Genomic DNA, 13,437 nt, shown 5'->3' on the forward strand with positions numbered 1-13,437 from the left:
AGGCTAAGTGGGTTCCCCAAGATTCAACCAGCTGATAAGTGTTGGGCCAGGGCTTGAACCCAGCCCTGCCATCCTTCAAAGCCCATGTGCTGCCATAGCATTCACCGACGCGTGTTGCGGCACGCGTGTGCGTGGTGCCCCGGGTGTGGACAGCATGTTGGTACGCAGAGGTGCAGAGGTGTGTGCGTGTAATGTTTGCACGTGTGCATAGGTGTCCTCTTATTTCTCCATTGCGTGAGGTTCCTGGTAGGTCGGCAGTTTCCAAAGAGGTGAGCTGGTGTTTGGAGGTGCATTGGTCGGAGTGGGCCACACAGTCCTCAGACCACACCTGGGGATGACTGTGCCATGGGCTCTCCACCACCCCAGGGATGCCCGTGGGAAGAAGGGTGGTTTTCCCCAGTCCAGGGCTAGCCAAAGCTGGCAGCGGGTGGACTGGGCATCCAGGCGTGGGCTTCTCGTAGGTGCTCAGCACTGCTGAGGGAGGCTCTGGCTGAGTGGCCTGCATGCTGGGCCTTGGCCAGACGCGCTGCTGCCTCCTTATGTGGACAGGCGGTTCTGGGCGCCGGCCATTTGCAGACTGGGAGGAGTGGAAGTGAGGCCTGCGGGCCCCGGAGAGGAAATGGCGGCGTGGGCAGGCCCAGAACAGGACCGGGAAGGCGGGCCGAGGGAGGGAGTGGCCCAGAAGGCCTCTGTCGGCCGGTCAGCGTGCTAGCGGCCTTTCTCCAAGAAGCGGCCAGCTGGCCAGGCCTTCCCGGGCAGGTCTGTTTGTCTGCCCACATGCACACACGTGCACCTGCGTGCCAGGGCACGGGGAGGTTTAGTGGCCTTATTTCCTAATAGGGAACATAGCAGGGCCTGGGGTTTGATGAGACGGCGTAACGCCCAGCACACCTTCAGACAAAAGAGACCGTGATAAAAACGGTTCTTACTACAAGGTCCCAGCTTCTGTCTTTAAAATGGGGCTTCCAGCCTCCGCCTCAGTAGATGGTTGGAGGCACTGCATGAGATCCTGGTCTGGGGAGCCCCTGGTTCGTTGGTGTTTCCCTTGCCTTGGCCTAGTAAGAGGGGACGGGAGGCCCAGGCTCTGTGGTGGGCCTGTCTCAGCCCATTTCAAACCCTACCCACTGCCTTCCCATGACCTTAACAGGATGGCATTACCCAGCACTCACCCAGATGCCAGGGTGGCACCGGGTGAGTGGCAGTTTCGGGTGGTCCTGGAGAAGGGTCCTGGCATCGGCTGGTATGAGTCTCTGGGTTTCCGAGCTTCAATGAGGGCTGGATTCAGGGTGTGGGCTGGGCCAGCCATTCCGGCAAAACCCCAGAAGGAATCCACAGGAGGTGGGGACCGGGAAGGCAGCCGGGTTGCGCCAGTGCCTGCAAGGGAACCTCTGGCCCCATTTCCTGGGAGCCTGACCCCGCCCTAGGATTCCTGGAGTGGGTGTGCCCACGCTTCCGGCCCAGACGTGGGTGGAGGGATCCCACCCTGCCAGGCCTCCCGCCTGTGCGGCTTCTTTCAACTCGATGAGAGGAGGACTCCTCCTGGGCCTGGTGCTTCGAGGTCCAGACGAGCAGACACTGGCGCCTGTGACCCTGCAGCGGACGCCCTTCAAAGTCCGTGTGGCCGCATTTGGAAGCCTGGGCGGCGTGGAGACGGCGCCTTCAGCTTGAGATAGTAAGTTGCCCAATGCCTGCACCTGTGGAGACTCCCAGCACCTGGTGGGTGAGCCGCAGGGGGCTCGGGCCTCCATACTGGGTCTCCAGCAGCAGGGGTGAGGTCTCTCCTGTGATGGACTCAAATGACTCAAACCCACTGGGCTCTGCCCGAGGCATCTGCGCTATGGAAGCAGCTTGCAAATGGGCTCTCTGGGGCCACGCCGGCCCACGGCGGCCACAGCCTCGGCCAGGAGCCGTGGAGGGAAAGATGAGGCCGCTGCAGCATTTCCGTCTGCCAGGGCGACGGGGGCCAGCAGGGCAGGAGCAGCGGGGAACCCTGGGTGGTGGAGATCCCCTGCCTTGGTCCAGGGGAGAAAGCTGGGGGCCGCATTTGGCACCCCCAGGGCAGTGCCAGTGCATGTTGGATGTTAGACTCAGCCCCACATGGCAAGGGGTGTTGAGCTTTGTTGAGCACATACTAAGTGCCAGACCCCAGGCCAGGTGCTTTCCATCCATTTTGATAAACATCCATTTTTAAATTTAATCTGCCAGTTCCATTTCCCTGCCACATCCATTTGGAGCCAGCACGTAGCAGTGCTGTTCTCAGGCCAGAATGTGGAGTAAGCAGGACAGACAGCGTCCCTGTCTGGGTGGAAGTTCCAGTCTAGTGACGTGTGGGTGCTAACGGTTTTCTATATGAGGAGGCCAAGGTTCAGAGAGGCCGAGGGATCTCCCCAGAGTCACGGGGCCAGCAGGTACCAGAGCCTTCTCCCTAACCCAGGTCCTCCCCACGACTGTGCCTGCACAGAACCACACAGGATCCCTGTTTATCTTCAGATCTTCAGCCTCTCTTGGATGCTGGCCTTGTCTGGTTCTCTCCAGACACCCAGCACTAGGAAGGACCATTCCGTCGGCTTGGAGTTCTTTTGCCCCGGGGAGAGCCGGAATTGTCCTGGGGTCATGGGTCACTCTGGCTCTGAGGCCCTGAGTCCTCTCTGGCTGAGTGGCCAGCATTCAGCGCATGCTGGTTTGGGCTGTATGGGGCTCCAGGGCACCCTGCCACTCTCGGGCTCTGTGCCCAGGCTGGTGTGCTGGCAGGTGTGAGACTGCACGCAGTGTGGCAGCAGGCGGTGGCAAGGAGGGAGCTGTGGTCATCCTCGTTCTTGGTGTTCCTACGGCCCAGAGGTGGGAACGTATGAGACTGTACACCCAGATGCCGTGTGCCAGACCAGGATGGGCTCACAAGACACCAGCCCTGCATGGGCAGACGGGGACCACATCAGGTCACGGGGCACAAGAACCTTCTGGAGACCCCACCCCATCTGTCGGCATGGTTCACGTTCATGGATGACCAATCATCTCTGAGCGCTGTGGCGCTCATGGCCCTGAGTCCACGGGTTTTCTCGTGTTTCAGAGCAGTTCTGAGCCCACTTCATTCTGCAGAGCACTGGCTCAGAGAGGTTATGGAACTCATCATGTGCCAGGCCCCAGGACGGCCACGGGAAGAGGCCTGAGAATGCCGTCGAGTGACGGGATCCAGCAGACCTGGTGGAGCACCGGGGCCTTGGCCAGAGGGGCTGGAGCCCTAGACCCAAGGTCTAAGCCCTGCACTGCCTGCGCCTGGCCCACAGGCATGGCGGCCTCACTGAGAGGCAGGCTGCATGTCCTCAGCAAACACGGGCACCAGACGGAGACCAGACAGAGGCCAGTACCAGGCGGGGCTGAGAAGTTAGCCGGAGCATCCTAGGATGCCAGGAAGCCTTCCAGAGGTGGCAGCCCCGCAGCCCCCGCTCCTTCCCACAGCTGACCTCCAGGGCTGCAGCTGCAGGGCCCCTGCGTCCAGCCCTCGGACCTGCCACGTCCCAGGGCCCCACTGCCAGGCACCGCCCCGTGCCGGCCCTGTACAGGCCACATCTGCTGCAGCAGCCATGCCAGAGCTCCGCCTCCCGGGCTCCGTCCCCATGGAAACCACGGTGGGGGGGGCTCCTCCTGCATTTGGCCCGCTGACTGGTTTCCATTAGAGCCGGCCTGCTTTCCCTGAGCTCTGCCCCTGCAGTTCAAGGCTTCCCCTGGGGGTTTCTTCCCACATTTACCGAGCACCAGCCGTTCCGTGCCAGGGAACCCAGCGGTCTGGGCCCCGCCCGCCCTGGCCAGCACCCACCGGTGGTGCCTGATGCCCGGCACCGTGGCTGCTCCCCTGTCCTTTCTTATCGAAGGCCAGCTGCTGCTGGGTCCTGGTGTCGTGGACTCAGCCCTGGATCTGAGTCAGGGCACTGGGCTCCCATCCTGGCTGGGCCGTAGAATCACTGGTGGGCACTTGAATAAGCCCCTTCCTCTCTCCGGGTCTCAGTTTACCCATCTGTAAAATGAAAAGCTCCATCTATTTCTTGAGTTCCTTGCAATGCCGAGAAAGAAAGACAAAGAGAAAATGAAGCCACAGTACACTGTTGCTGCCGGGTTCTCAGAACTGGGATTTTTGTTTGCTTTCAAAGAGGGTTTTTTTTTTCTAGGGAAAGAGTCATGGAATTTGACCAGAGATGATTGTTTGAGGGGCCAAGAGCCAGCCAGAGCCCACGGACATGCAGCATGGAAGGTGTAGCCAGAAGCCTGGGCAGCGATACCCGCCGGTCCGCCTTGGCATCTGCTTGGCACCCAGTGACCTGGCTGTGAACACAGTGAGCGGAGGCAGGAAGTGTGCCTGCGCCGGAATCCGAAGGGCTCTGGAAAACTCCCCAAGAGGTTTCCGGAGGTCAGAAATGTGGGCAGAAAATGAGATCCAGCTTTTAAAAACCTGGCCGACTCATCCCCCGGGAGCCTAGGGAGGCCTGGGAAGGTGCCTCCACCACCACGTGGCTGAGTTACGAGAAGAGCTCGCCGGGCTGGACCTGGGGGTGCTGGGCTGTTAGGGTCGGCAGCAAGGTGGCCCCAGCCCAGACTACGTCCTGGTGGTGTCTTCCTCCTCCAGCTCTTGGGAGTTGGGAGGCTTCAGCGGGGAGGTGGTGATGGTACTGGGGCCTTTTGCCTGGCCTGCCAGTGGCCAGCATGGCTCTCCCCGTGGGACCTTCCAGCTCCTGCTGCCTGGGGTGGTGGTGCGCGTTGGCCTCCCCTGGGCCCTGTGGGTGCTGGTGATGGCCTGGGAACACGTTTCCAGCTCACAGATGAACAGAGCCCGGGAGGTGGAAGACCTTCTTGGCAGCAGGGAGTGAATGGCCCAGTGGGGTGGGCAGCTTGCTTAGCCTCCCCCAGCCTCGGTATCCTCATCTGTAAAATGCGGCTAGTAACCTTGATCTCCTGGTCAGGGTGAGAGTTAGACGAGACGAGAGGCGGGATCAAAGCTGGATAAATGGCAGGAGACAGCACCGGAACTGCGCCCACCCCGCATCCTTGTCATGATCAAGGCAGACCACACGTCCCAGAGAGCCCAGCTCCATGATGGGAGAGCAGGGCCAGGCTGACTGTGGTCAGGCCCACCTGGAGGGGCTGCTGGCAGGCTCTTGGGTGACAGCCACCCTGCCCTGGTGGCCCAGGTAGCCTGAGAGTTGGCGTTTCCTCTTCCTCCATCTCAGTCAAGAGGCCGAGTCAATTCCCCACTCAGCTTCTGCCCCTGCCTCCTGCCCGAGGCAACCTGGCTTTGCTGACTGGTCCCAGTGATAGGGGACATTGTCACTGTGGCTCAAAGGGCGGGCTTGGTGGCATTTTCAGTTTTCTGTCCTGGGAAGGAATGAAACCTTGGTTCGAGTGGCCGCATCTGGGTGGCCACGGCCTTTGCACCCCCTGCCTTTGCGCCCCCCACCCCACCATCCCGATGAAAGTAGGCCGAGGGCGTCGGCACAGAGCGGCCGCCGCGGTCCTGGCCAGGGCTTGATTTAGATATTCGGGGAGACTGGGATAAGGTAGGAAATGAAGGAAATTTCCCCAGGGAAAGGGGAAGAGAAGACGGAGGAGCTTAAGTACCCACATGATTATTAAGCGTGGCTGGTGATTTACGGCCGGGCAGGCGGCTCCTGGCGGCTCCCTGCCCCCTCCCTCCCAGTGCCCTGCACCCTGGAGAGCCGCCATGGGGAAAACAGAGGCCACCAGGTGGGCCCAGCACCCGAGCTCCGCCTTATCTCCTGGGTCTAGGCCCTCGGCAGTCCCTGGGCAGGTGACGCAGCACGGGACACAGCTCCTCCATGTGCTGGGCACTGACATCTGTCATTGGGGCCACCTCACAGAACCCTGACGGATCACCGGCCCTGTCTTACAGGCCAGGAAGCCCAGGTCTGGAAGGTCGAGCCTCACGTGGCCCTCTAAACGGTGGAGTCTGAGCCAGCCTGGCCACCGGCCCAAACCCTAGGCCTTTCTCTCTACCACGGCCAGGTTCAGTGGCCTCTGGTGGGAAGGGCTGGGGAGGCCCTTGTCCCTCCTTAGAACAAGGGATGCGGGTGGAATGGTGGTGGCTGTGGTCGCGAAGCAGGCCTCTGCCCATCCTGCCCTGTCTCCTGCCTTTCAGGGTGCCTGTACTTCTCTTGGCTGAATTCCAGTCTCCCCTTCAGGGGACTCTTGAGACCCTCAACAGCCAGCCCTGACCCCCTCCGTGGCCCCATCTTCGACCTCTGTAGACTATGGCCTAGTGTCACCTCCTCCTGGAAGCCCTCCTTGCTCTCCACTCACCCATTGCCCTGCTGTGGGGCCTGGGGCCTGGTAGTAGCCTGTCTGGGGCCAGGGAAGTGTTCCTCTGGGAAATATTTTATGAGTGAATGAATCAGAAGAGAAAGCCATGACCTGCCTGCCTGTGCTCAGTGCCACGTCAGAAGCCACCAAGCTGTGGCATTGCCCCGGCAAGTTTATTTTTCCACCTCCACTAAGTAAGTTCCACTTCAGGACTCATCCGAGAGGTTGTGAAGCCACACGTCATCAAAAACGGCATCTTTGCACTCAGCAGGCAGGCTGGTGCAGCCCGTGGTGGGGGACCATCCTGCCTGCTGTGGGGTAAGGACGGCTGTGTGCGCCAGGCTACAGGGAAGCCAAGGCTACTGCTTGGGGGTTTCACTGGGGAATATTAACAAACAGAGGTGGCCCAGAAGGGTCATGGAGCCTTTTCTTCTCAGACTGCTGGGTATGGAGGGCAGGGACCCATTGACCCGTCAGGTGTCACCGGTGGGTGGTGGTGCATTCTGTTAATTTAGGTCAGAGAATTTAGGTTCAGTTTACAGATTTCCTGCACAGTCCCTCCTCTGCATCGTAGCTCATGAACATCCTCTTCCTCCAGGAAGCCCTCACACGCTGCTGGGCCCTCTTCCTCCAGGAAGCCCTCACAGGCTGCTGGGCCCTCTTCCTCCAGGAGGCCCTCACACACTGTTGGGCCCTCTTCTTCCAGGAAGCCCTCACACGCTACTGGGCCCTCTTCCTCCAAGAAGCCCTCATATGCTGCTGGGCCCTCTTCCTCCAGGAAGCCCTCATATGCTGCTGGGCCCTCTTCCTCCAGGAAGCCCTCACGCTGCTGGGCCTTCTCTCCGGCCACCTCATGGCAGCTGGGTCCTTGGCCCATCTGGTCCCTCCGGAAGGAACCGTCGAAGCTACCATGGCCTCGTCTTTCCACGTTCCACCTTCTCGGGTGCAATGAACAAGTGTGTAGATGCCACACATCCTCCTGGGGCCTGGCATCTTTGTCCAGAGGGCCCGAGGCAGCTCGGGGAAGGCCTTTCAAGTGCGTCTTGGGAAGCTCACGGCTGACCAGTGAGCAGGGCCTGGGTCCCACTCGGCCGTGTGATCTTGGGCCAGCCCCTCCCCGGCTCTGAGCCTCAGCTTCCCACAGTCTCTCTGACCCCCACTTCTGACATGTAGTGGATCTCTAGAGGGTTCTGAGGGTTCAGGTGTGGAATTGGCTGCCTCAGGCATAAAAACATTCCTGGGCTTCAACCTGGGATCCCACCTGGAGGACAGAGGAGAGATTTATTGCAGAGATGTTCATGCAGTGCCTCTTTAAATGTGGAAAGCTCGACGCACCAGCCGTGCTCCTGGGGTTGGGCGTTTGAATTGAGGAGTTGTGATAACATGACCTGCCGGACTCTCGTGTGGCCGTTCACAATGGGAGAAGCCTCTGTGGGCAGGTGGAGGCGGCCCACGTCCACACGCACACGGGAGCCCCTGCGAGCCAGGCCTGGCACAGGGTTGTCAGTATTTGCTGCCACGTTCTCTCTCTCTCAATTTTCCAGAACTTTGTTGAATGAGCACCCATTCCTTGTGCAATGGGCAGAAAATGTTTAAGTTACAAAACTTATCATCTGGCCAGAGTGACCCTAGCCTGGCTAAATTATCGCAACATGTTCTCCCCCAAAAGAGAGACATTTGCAAAATGCTCAGGAGGTCATGGGGCGGCCATCTGCCAGGCACATTTTATTTCCTCCATTTAAAAGGAGCAGAGCCGATTGAAGGGGAAGGAAGGGGTGTTCTGGAGATTGGGGTGCACAGGGGTGCTACAAGGCCAGCTTCCCCCACATCTGGCGTGGCTGATGAGAGCAACTTTGCTGCTGCTTTTGGGGCAGAATCCATCCTTGTATAGCCTCGGGCACATGGTTAGAATGCTGGGAGTATGATGCCTGGAAACAATACTATAAAGAAAGCAGGACTCAGTTCTCTCATCTAGAACCGGTGGCCCGTCGTTTTGCCGTTACAGATACCAGCAGTGTTTGTGACAAACCCTAATGGAACAGAAGCTCCCGGTGGGTGTGTGAATGGCCACGTGTCTGGCCGTGGCTTGCTTTTCCAGAACCAACTTGGTGGTTAGCAGTCGTTGCCAGCTGCCTCGTGTGAGCACCTACTGTGTGCCGGGCAAGCCGCTGGGAATTTCACGTCTGTTCATTTTCTCTTCACTGTGGCGTCAGATCACGGAGTAGGTGTAAATAGTTGCCTTTAGGATGTGAAGCTGGGGCTCGGAGAGGAGAGGCCAGCTTCTTGAAGACTGAAGAGCCTAGAAGATTCTGTGCAACCTGTGTGTGGCTCAAGAGCCTGTGCTTCTCCCAGGGGTGACAGCTCCCCCACTAGATGCCGTGTCCTTGGAGACTTGAACTCCCCCTGTGCTCTGAACACACCAGCTGCCGTGGTAGCCATCAGACGTCCCTACTGGAGCCATTTTGGCCCAAGAGAAGTGGCTGAGATGGGGATATGGCCCTGGTTTGTGCAAACTCAGGGAAACTCGGGGATGTGACCTCCTGCAGCTTTGCCGTGTGTTTTGACCTCTCCCAACTGCTTGGGTTTCTTTTTTTTTGGAGACAGAGTCTCACCCTGTCGCCCAGGCTGGAATGTGGTGGCGTGATCTTGGCTCACTGATACTGCCGCCTCCCGGGTTCAAGCAATTCTCCTGCCTTGGCGTCCTGAGTAGTTGGGATTACAGACGTGCGCCACCACTCCTGGCTAATTTTTATATTTTTAGTAGAGATGGGGTTTCACTGTGTTGGCCACGCTGGTCTCGGAACTCCCGACCTCAGGTGATACGCCCGCCGTGGCCTCCCAAAGTGCTGGGATTACAGGCATGAACCACTTTACCCGGCCTGCTTGGGGTTCCTTTGAGGCCTTGGACATCCGACAGCATTACTGAGGGCCGGATTTCAATCCTTTCCACAGCATCTTCACACGTAAATTGAGGGGCCCTTGGTATAACTGACCTGTGCATGGAGGATGTTTCTCCTACATGTGACCTTGGAGAGGGACCAGTTCACTGCTGAAGATAAGACGAGTCTGAATCCCTGGCTAGTCCTGGTCCCGGGCCTAGGCCCTGCAGCTTGGCCAACATCGGGGTTCCTGCAGGGCACTCAGAGCCTCCTGGGCTGCCCCCAAAAGTGTCTGCTCAGGTCCTGCTGGCCACATTTATTGCCACATCTCCCAGCCAGCCCCTGCAGCCTCCTCCCAGGCCCCTCCTGCCACAGGCCCAGGCTAGAGCTGGCGGTCAGTTGTATGAAAAGAGGTGGGGGAGGAATTTCTCCAGGCACTGGAGCTTGGAGTGACTTCTCCCATGTACTCGAAGCCCCCTGGGGGATTAGCAGTGGGTGCTGCTGTCCACTGAGTCCCACCATGCCCAGGCAAGGAACATCGTCTCTGACCTATGTGCAAATCCAAGAAGTTGGGTGTCATTGTCCCCATCTTACAGACAGAGAGACTGGGTCCCAGAGAGGCAAAGGAGCTTGTGCAGCATGACCAGGGGCAGAGCTGAGATGGGAACAGACCCTGTGGATGGACCTAGGGGTGCTTGTGGGCAGGGGCAGGGAAGGGGCTAGGATGGGGCTGGGGATCGGCCTCTGGGGCATTGTTCCCAGCCCCGTGTTCACTCTAATGGGTTTAGCACCAGCCTCGATGGGCCACGATCTGTGAAAATGGCCTAAGCTGGCCCTGTCCTGGGGGCCACACAGGGGTCCTGCAAGGAAGCACACCTCGGGGTGTGGGCTCAGAGCAGGGACAGCCTTGGGAGGCTCAGGCAGCCCCAGGGAGGAGAGCATTTTCCGATTTTTTAAAATCTCCGTAGGCAGGTAATGCAGCATTTGTCCAACTCAAGAACACAGTCACCAAAACCAGGCAGAGAGGAGGGGAGGTCACTGGGTGAGTGGTGGCAGGCAGGCTGCGGGAGCTGGTGCTGCTTGATGGGGCTCCTGTGTCTCCAAGCCGGGGAGCTGAAGCTCCCAGGGCTACACCTGCCCCAAAGCTGGTGCCCACTCACTTGTGAGGGCAGAAATCCCACATCTCTGGTACATCCAGGGCAGACGGGAGGTGGCCTGTGGGGCTGGGCCCTCGGCAGCTGCCCTGGCGCAGGGGGGTTCGGGCCCCACTAAAGGCTGCTCAGTCTCTCTCCACTTGCCACTGGGGGAACAGGCTTGTCCCGTCTCCCCTCCCCTCCCCTGGCTCCTGTAACCTGGAAGTCAGACTTTTGATGCTAACCTGGGTTCGAGATACATTAAATTGGGCTAGCTACAAAAAAGTGGGCCTCCGTGGCTGGGCCTGCCCTGGTGGCAGCCCTGTGAACCTGAGCGGGGGCATGCCATGCCAGTCCCCATGCTGTCTGGGGAGCTCCAGTCTGTGGTACTTTTCCTGGGGGGCCCCAGAACTCCTGTCTTGTCTGCTCCAGGTGAGGGCATTGGGGTGGTCCCAGCCAGCCCAGGGCGGCAGGTGAGGGCATTGGGGTGGTCCCAGCCAGCCCAGGGCGGCAGGTGAGGGCATTGGGGTGGTCCCAGCCAGCCCAGGGCGGCAGGTGAGGGCATTGGGGTGGTCCCAAGCCCAGGGCAGCAGGTGAGGGCATTGGGGTGGTCCCAGCCAGCCCAGGGCGGCAGGTGAGGGCATTGGGGTGGTCCCAGCCAGCCCGGGGCGGCAGGTGAGGGCATTGGGGTGGTCCCAGCCAGCCCAGGGCGGCAGGTGAGGGCATTGGGGTGGTCCCAGCCAGCCCAGGGCGGCAGGTGAGGGCATTGGGGTGGTCCCAGCCCAGGGCGGCAGGTGAGGGCATTGGGGTGGTCCCAGGCAGCCCGGGGCAGCAGGTGAGGGCATTGGGGTGGTCCCAGCCAGCCCAGGGCGGCAGGTGAGGGCATTGGGGTGGTCCCAGCCAGCCCAGGGCGGCAGGTGAGGGCATTGGGGTGGTCCCAGCCCAGGGCGGCAGGTGAGGGCATTGGGGTGGTCCCAGCCAGCCCAGGGCGGCAGGTGAGGGCATTGGGGTGGTCCCAGCCAGCCCAGGGCGGCAGGTGAGGGCATTGGGGTGGTCCCAGCCAGCCCAGGGCGGCAGGTGAGGGCATTAGGGTGGTCCCAGCCAGCCCAGGGTGGCAGGTGAGGGCATTGGGGTGGTCCCAGCCCAGGGCGGCAGGTGAGGGCATTGGGGTGGTCCCAGCCCAGTGTGGCAGGTGAGGGTGGGCCACATGGGATTTCCTAACCAGCCTGCAGGGGGATATCTCCGTGGGTGGCAGGCAGGGGGACCCAGGGTTATTAGAGTGGCTATCAGGACTCGCTGGGCCCCAGGGTGGGGGCTTTTATTTTGGCCCAGGCTGCTGGTGGGAGAGGTGGAGAGGGCGCCCCAGCCACCCTGATGACGGGCTCTGTGGCCTCAGTGCAGCCTCCTAAGGGTCAGGACAGCATGCAGCACAGCGCTTCCTGCAGGCTCTGTCCAAGAGGCAGGAGCAGCGGGCCTGCGCCGACCTCCCCTTGCTATCTATCACCTGCAGCTTCTGTGGGACCCCAGACCCCTCCCAGCCCTCAGTGGGCGTGGAGATTGTCACCATGGACCTGTTCCCATTTTCAGAGATGGGCTGATTATGGCACAGCCTCTGTGGGATGGGAAGAGGGTCGGGGTGGGGGTGCTGGCTGTAGGCTTTGCCCAGTGTGTGGCCAAGCACATCTGTGGGATGCCACCAGCAGGTCCCCCAGCCTCGGAAGCCTCATGAAACCAACTTGAGGCCAGGAGTGTTGCTGAGAAGGAGCCCCCCTAGCTAGTTAGCAGTGACCGGGTTGACTCCTGGCCCTACCCCCGTCCCTGACCCAGCACCACTCACACTCTCAGCTATCAAAGAGGAGAGTGGCCCCGGTCCTCAGGCGACAGGGTTTTGGGATGGCCACACTAGGCCACCCAGCCGGCCAAGCATTCTTGCAACCTGGGGTCCATAGGAGCTGGGAAGCCTGGGCCTGGGGAGGGTTCCAGGGGGTGTGGGAGAGAAAACAGTCTCCGGGGGCCTCAGTGCCCGAGGTGTGCAGCCGTGCAAGGCTGTGCAGCGCCCTCCCGCTTCAGGACCTGGACCCTACCTTCCTCCTACCCCCACTCAGGGCTCAGCATCCCACCTGAGTCTGGCCTAAGGCCCAGCAGAACCCCAGCTGTGGCATCAGACTTGGGCTGGGTTTGCCCTCGAATCCTCACCAATAGCGAGCGGTGCCCGCCTGCCAGCCTGACTTGAGGCAGGATGGGGAGGGGAAGGAGCGGGCCTCTGGGTCACCCTGGGCGAATGCCGGCTCCTGGGCCTTGATGTTCTCCTGCAGTCAGTCTTGGGGTGTCTCTCTCTGTGGCTCACAGTGACCACTTGAGTCACCTCTTCGGAAAGAACCAAAGTCCCATTTGTACCTTGTAAGTCCCAGATATTGGATGTCATTCCAGGAGTGATGGGGGATGAGTGGGGCACTTCCCAGCATCCTGGGTGCCAGGCACTATGTGCTGGGCCCAGGGACAAAGCCACATAAGACATGATCCATGCCATGGAGCTACCAGGCCTGGGGAGAGATGGGCATTGCAAGTATCTGTGAGCTGATTTCAAGAGACCCCCAGTTTACTGCTAGAGCTAGGGAGATCCCTGATTGAGGAGGGCTCCCTGGAGGAGGTGGCCTAAATAATGGGTAGGAATGGGGCCTTTGATGGTGGGAGAACACTCCAGCCCTCGGGAACAGTGGGTGCCAAGGCAGGGCTGAGCGAGGGTGGCAGGGACTTCTTTGAGCACTGAGGTGGAGAGACGGTGCTCTGCTGTGAGCCAGCACCCCAAGCCCCACTGGCCCTTCCTCTGTGGACACTAGAGGACATCCACGTCCACAGCTCGCGTGCAGGAGCCAGCGGGTGGGGTTTGATTTTGGGCGTGCGTGTCAGGCAGGAGCGGAGGCAAAGGCAGAGGCCGTCCTCACAGCCCTTTGTCTCCCAGGAAAGTTCTTAACCTCAGGCCTCGCCGGGTTGGGCCCACCTGCAGGAAGTTGTGAGGGGTCCCTGAGGGGTGGAGGGAGAGGCCACCTTCACTCCCTCCCCAGTCTTCAGCCACCAGACCTCCTGAGCTGACTTCCTGGTCTCCTTGTGTCTTGCAG

The 13,437-nt window shown here is 60.4% G+C and overlaps 1 protein-coding gene, 2 long non-coding RNA genes and 1 other non-coding gene across 9 annotated transcripts in view, besides 6 other annotated features; all 4 read left to right on the forward strand.

Annotated features, from left to right (window-relative positions):
- Positions 1–572: an enhancer, noted in NCBI's record as "H3K27ac-H3K4me1 hESC enhancer chr22:46480369-46480940 (GRCh37/hg19 assembly coordinates)". NCBI's record gives its function as "activates a minimal SCP1, AML or CMV promoter by ChIP-STARR-seq in primed H9 embryonic stem cells {active_cell/tissue: H9 hESC(primed)}" and the evidence as "EXISTENCE:reporter gene assay evidence [ECO:0000049][PMID:30033119]".
- The window catches only part of LOC124905135 (collagen alpha-1(III) chain-like), a 69,285-nt gene that overhangs the window by 39,845 nt on the left and 16,003 nt on the right, over positions 1–13,437 (forward strand). Inside the window, exon 1 of one of the 4 annotated variants that reach the window (XM_047441694.1) lies at positions 1,509–1,672. The exons of the other annotated variants lie outside the window; for them this stretch is intronic. The gene's annotated coding sequence lies outside the window, so the exon portion shown is untranslated. Of the gene's footprint in view, positions 1–1,508; positions 1,673–13,437 lie in introns of those variants that run through there. 4 annotated transcript variants of the gene reach the window in all.
- Positions 573–1,142: an enhancer, noted in NCBI's record as "H3K27ac-H3K4me1 hESC enhancer chr22:46480941-46481510 (GRCh37/hg19 assembly coordinates)". NCBI's record gives its function as "activates a minimal SCP1, AML or CMV promoter by ChIP-STARR-seq in naive and primed H9 embryonic stem cells {active_cell/tissue: H9 hESC(naive and primed)}" and the evidence as "EXISTENCE:reporter gene assay evidence [ECO:0000049][PMID:30033119]".
- Positions 573–2,044: a biological region, named in NCBI's record as "P300/CBP strongly-dependent group 1 enhancer GRCh37_chr22:46481213-46482412".
- Positions 845–2,044: an enhancer, noted in NCBI's record as "P300/CBP strongly-dependent group 1 enhancer chr22:46481213-46482412 (GRCh37/hg19 assembly coordinates)". NCBI's record gives its function as "activates an origin of replication core promoter dependent on BRD2, BRD4, P300/CBP, MED14 and CDK7 cofactors, with strong dependence on P300/CBP, by STARR-seq in HCT116 cells {active_cell/tissue: HCT116}" and the evidence as "EXISTENCE:reporter gene assay evidence [ECO:0000049][PMID:35650434]".
- Positions 1,143–1,714: an enhancer, noted in NCBI's record as "H3K4me1 hESC enhancer chr22:46481511-46482082 (GRCh37/hg19 assembly coordinates)". NCBI's record gives its function as "activates a minimal SCP1, AML or CMV promoter by ChIP-STARR-seq in naive H9 embryonic stem cells {active_cell/tissue: H9 hESC(naive)}" and the evidence as "EXISTENCE:reporter gene assay evidence [ECO:0000049][PMID:30033119]".
- Positions 1,509–13,437, forward strand: part of MIRLET7BHG (MIRLET7B host gene) — a 27,932-nt gene continuing 16,003 nt past the window's right edge. For both annotated transcript variants that reach the window (NR_027033.2, NR_110479.1), the window contains exon 1: positions 1,509–1,672. This is a non-coding gene — a long non-coding RNA (MIRLET7B host gene). The remainder of the gene's footprint in view (positions 1,673–13,437) is intronic.
- Positions 1,679–13,431, forward strand: LOC112268288 (uncharacterized). Of its 2 annotated transcripts, none has more exons than XR_002958732.2 (3): positions 1,679–11,075; positions 11,154–11,395; positions 11,437–13,431. It is a non-coding gene; the product is annotated as an uncharacterized LOC112268288 (long non-coding RNA). The 2 variants fall into 2 exon arrangements; XR_002958733.2 differs by having other exon boundaries at positions 1,679–10,750; positions 10,792–11,075; positions 11,154–13,431.
- Positions 3,484–4,093: an enhancer, noted in NCBI's record as "H3K27ac-H3K4me1 hESC enhancer chr22:46483852-46484461 (GRCh37/hg19 assembly coordinates)". NCBI's record gives its function as "activates a minimal SCP1, AML or CMV promoter by ChIP-STARR-seq in naive H9 embryonic stem cells {active_cell/tissue: H9 hESC(naive)}" and the evidence as "EXISTENCE:reporter gene assay evidence [ECO:0000049][PMID:30033119]".
- On the forward strand, positions 6,556–6,638 carry MIR3619 (microRNA 3619). Its single transcript, NR_037413.1, has one exon. It is a non-coding gene; the product is annotated as a microRNA 3619 (primary transcript).

This window comes from Homo sapiens, chromosome 22 (genome assembly GCF_000001405.40).
Source record: "Homo sapiens chromosome 22, GRCh38.p14 Primary Assembly".
Lineage (NCBI taxonomy): Eukaryota > Metazoa > Chordata > Mammalia > Primates > Hominidae > Homo > Homo sapiens.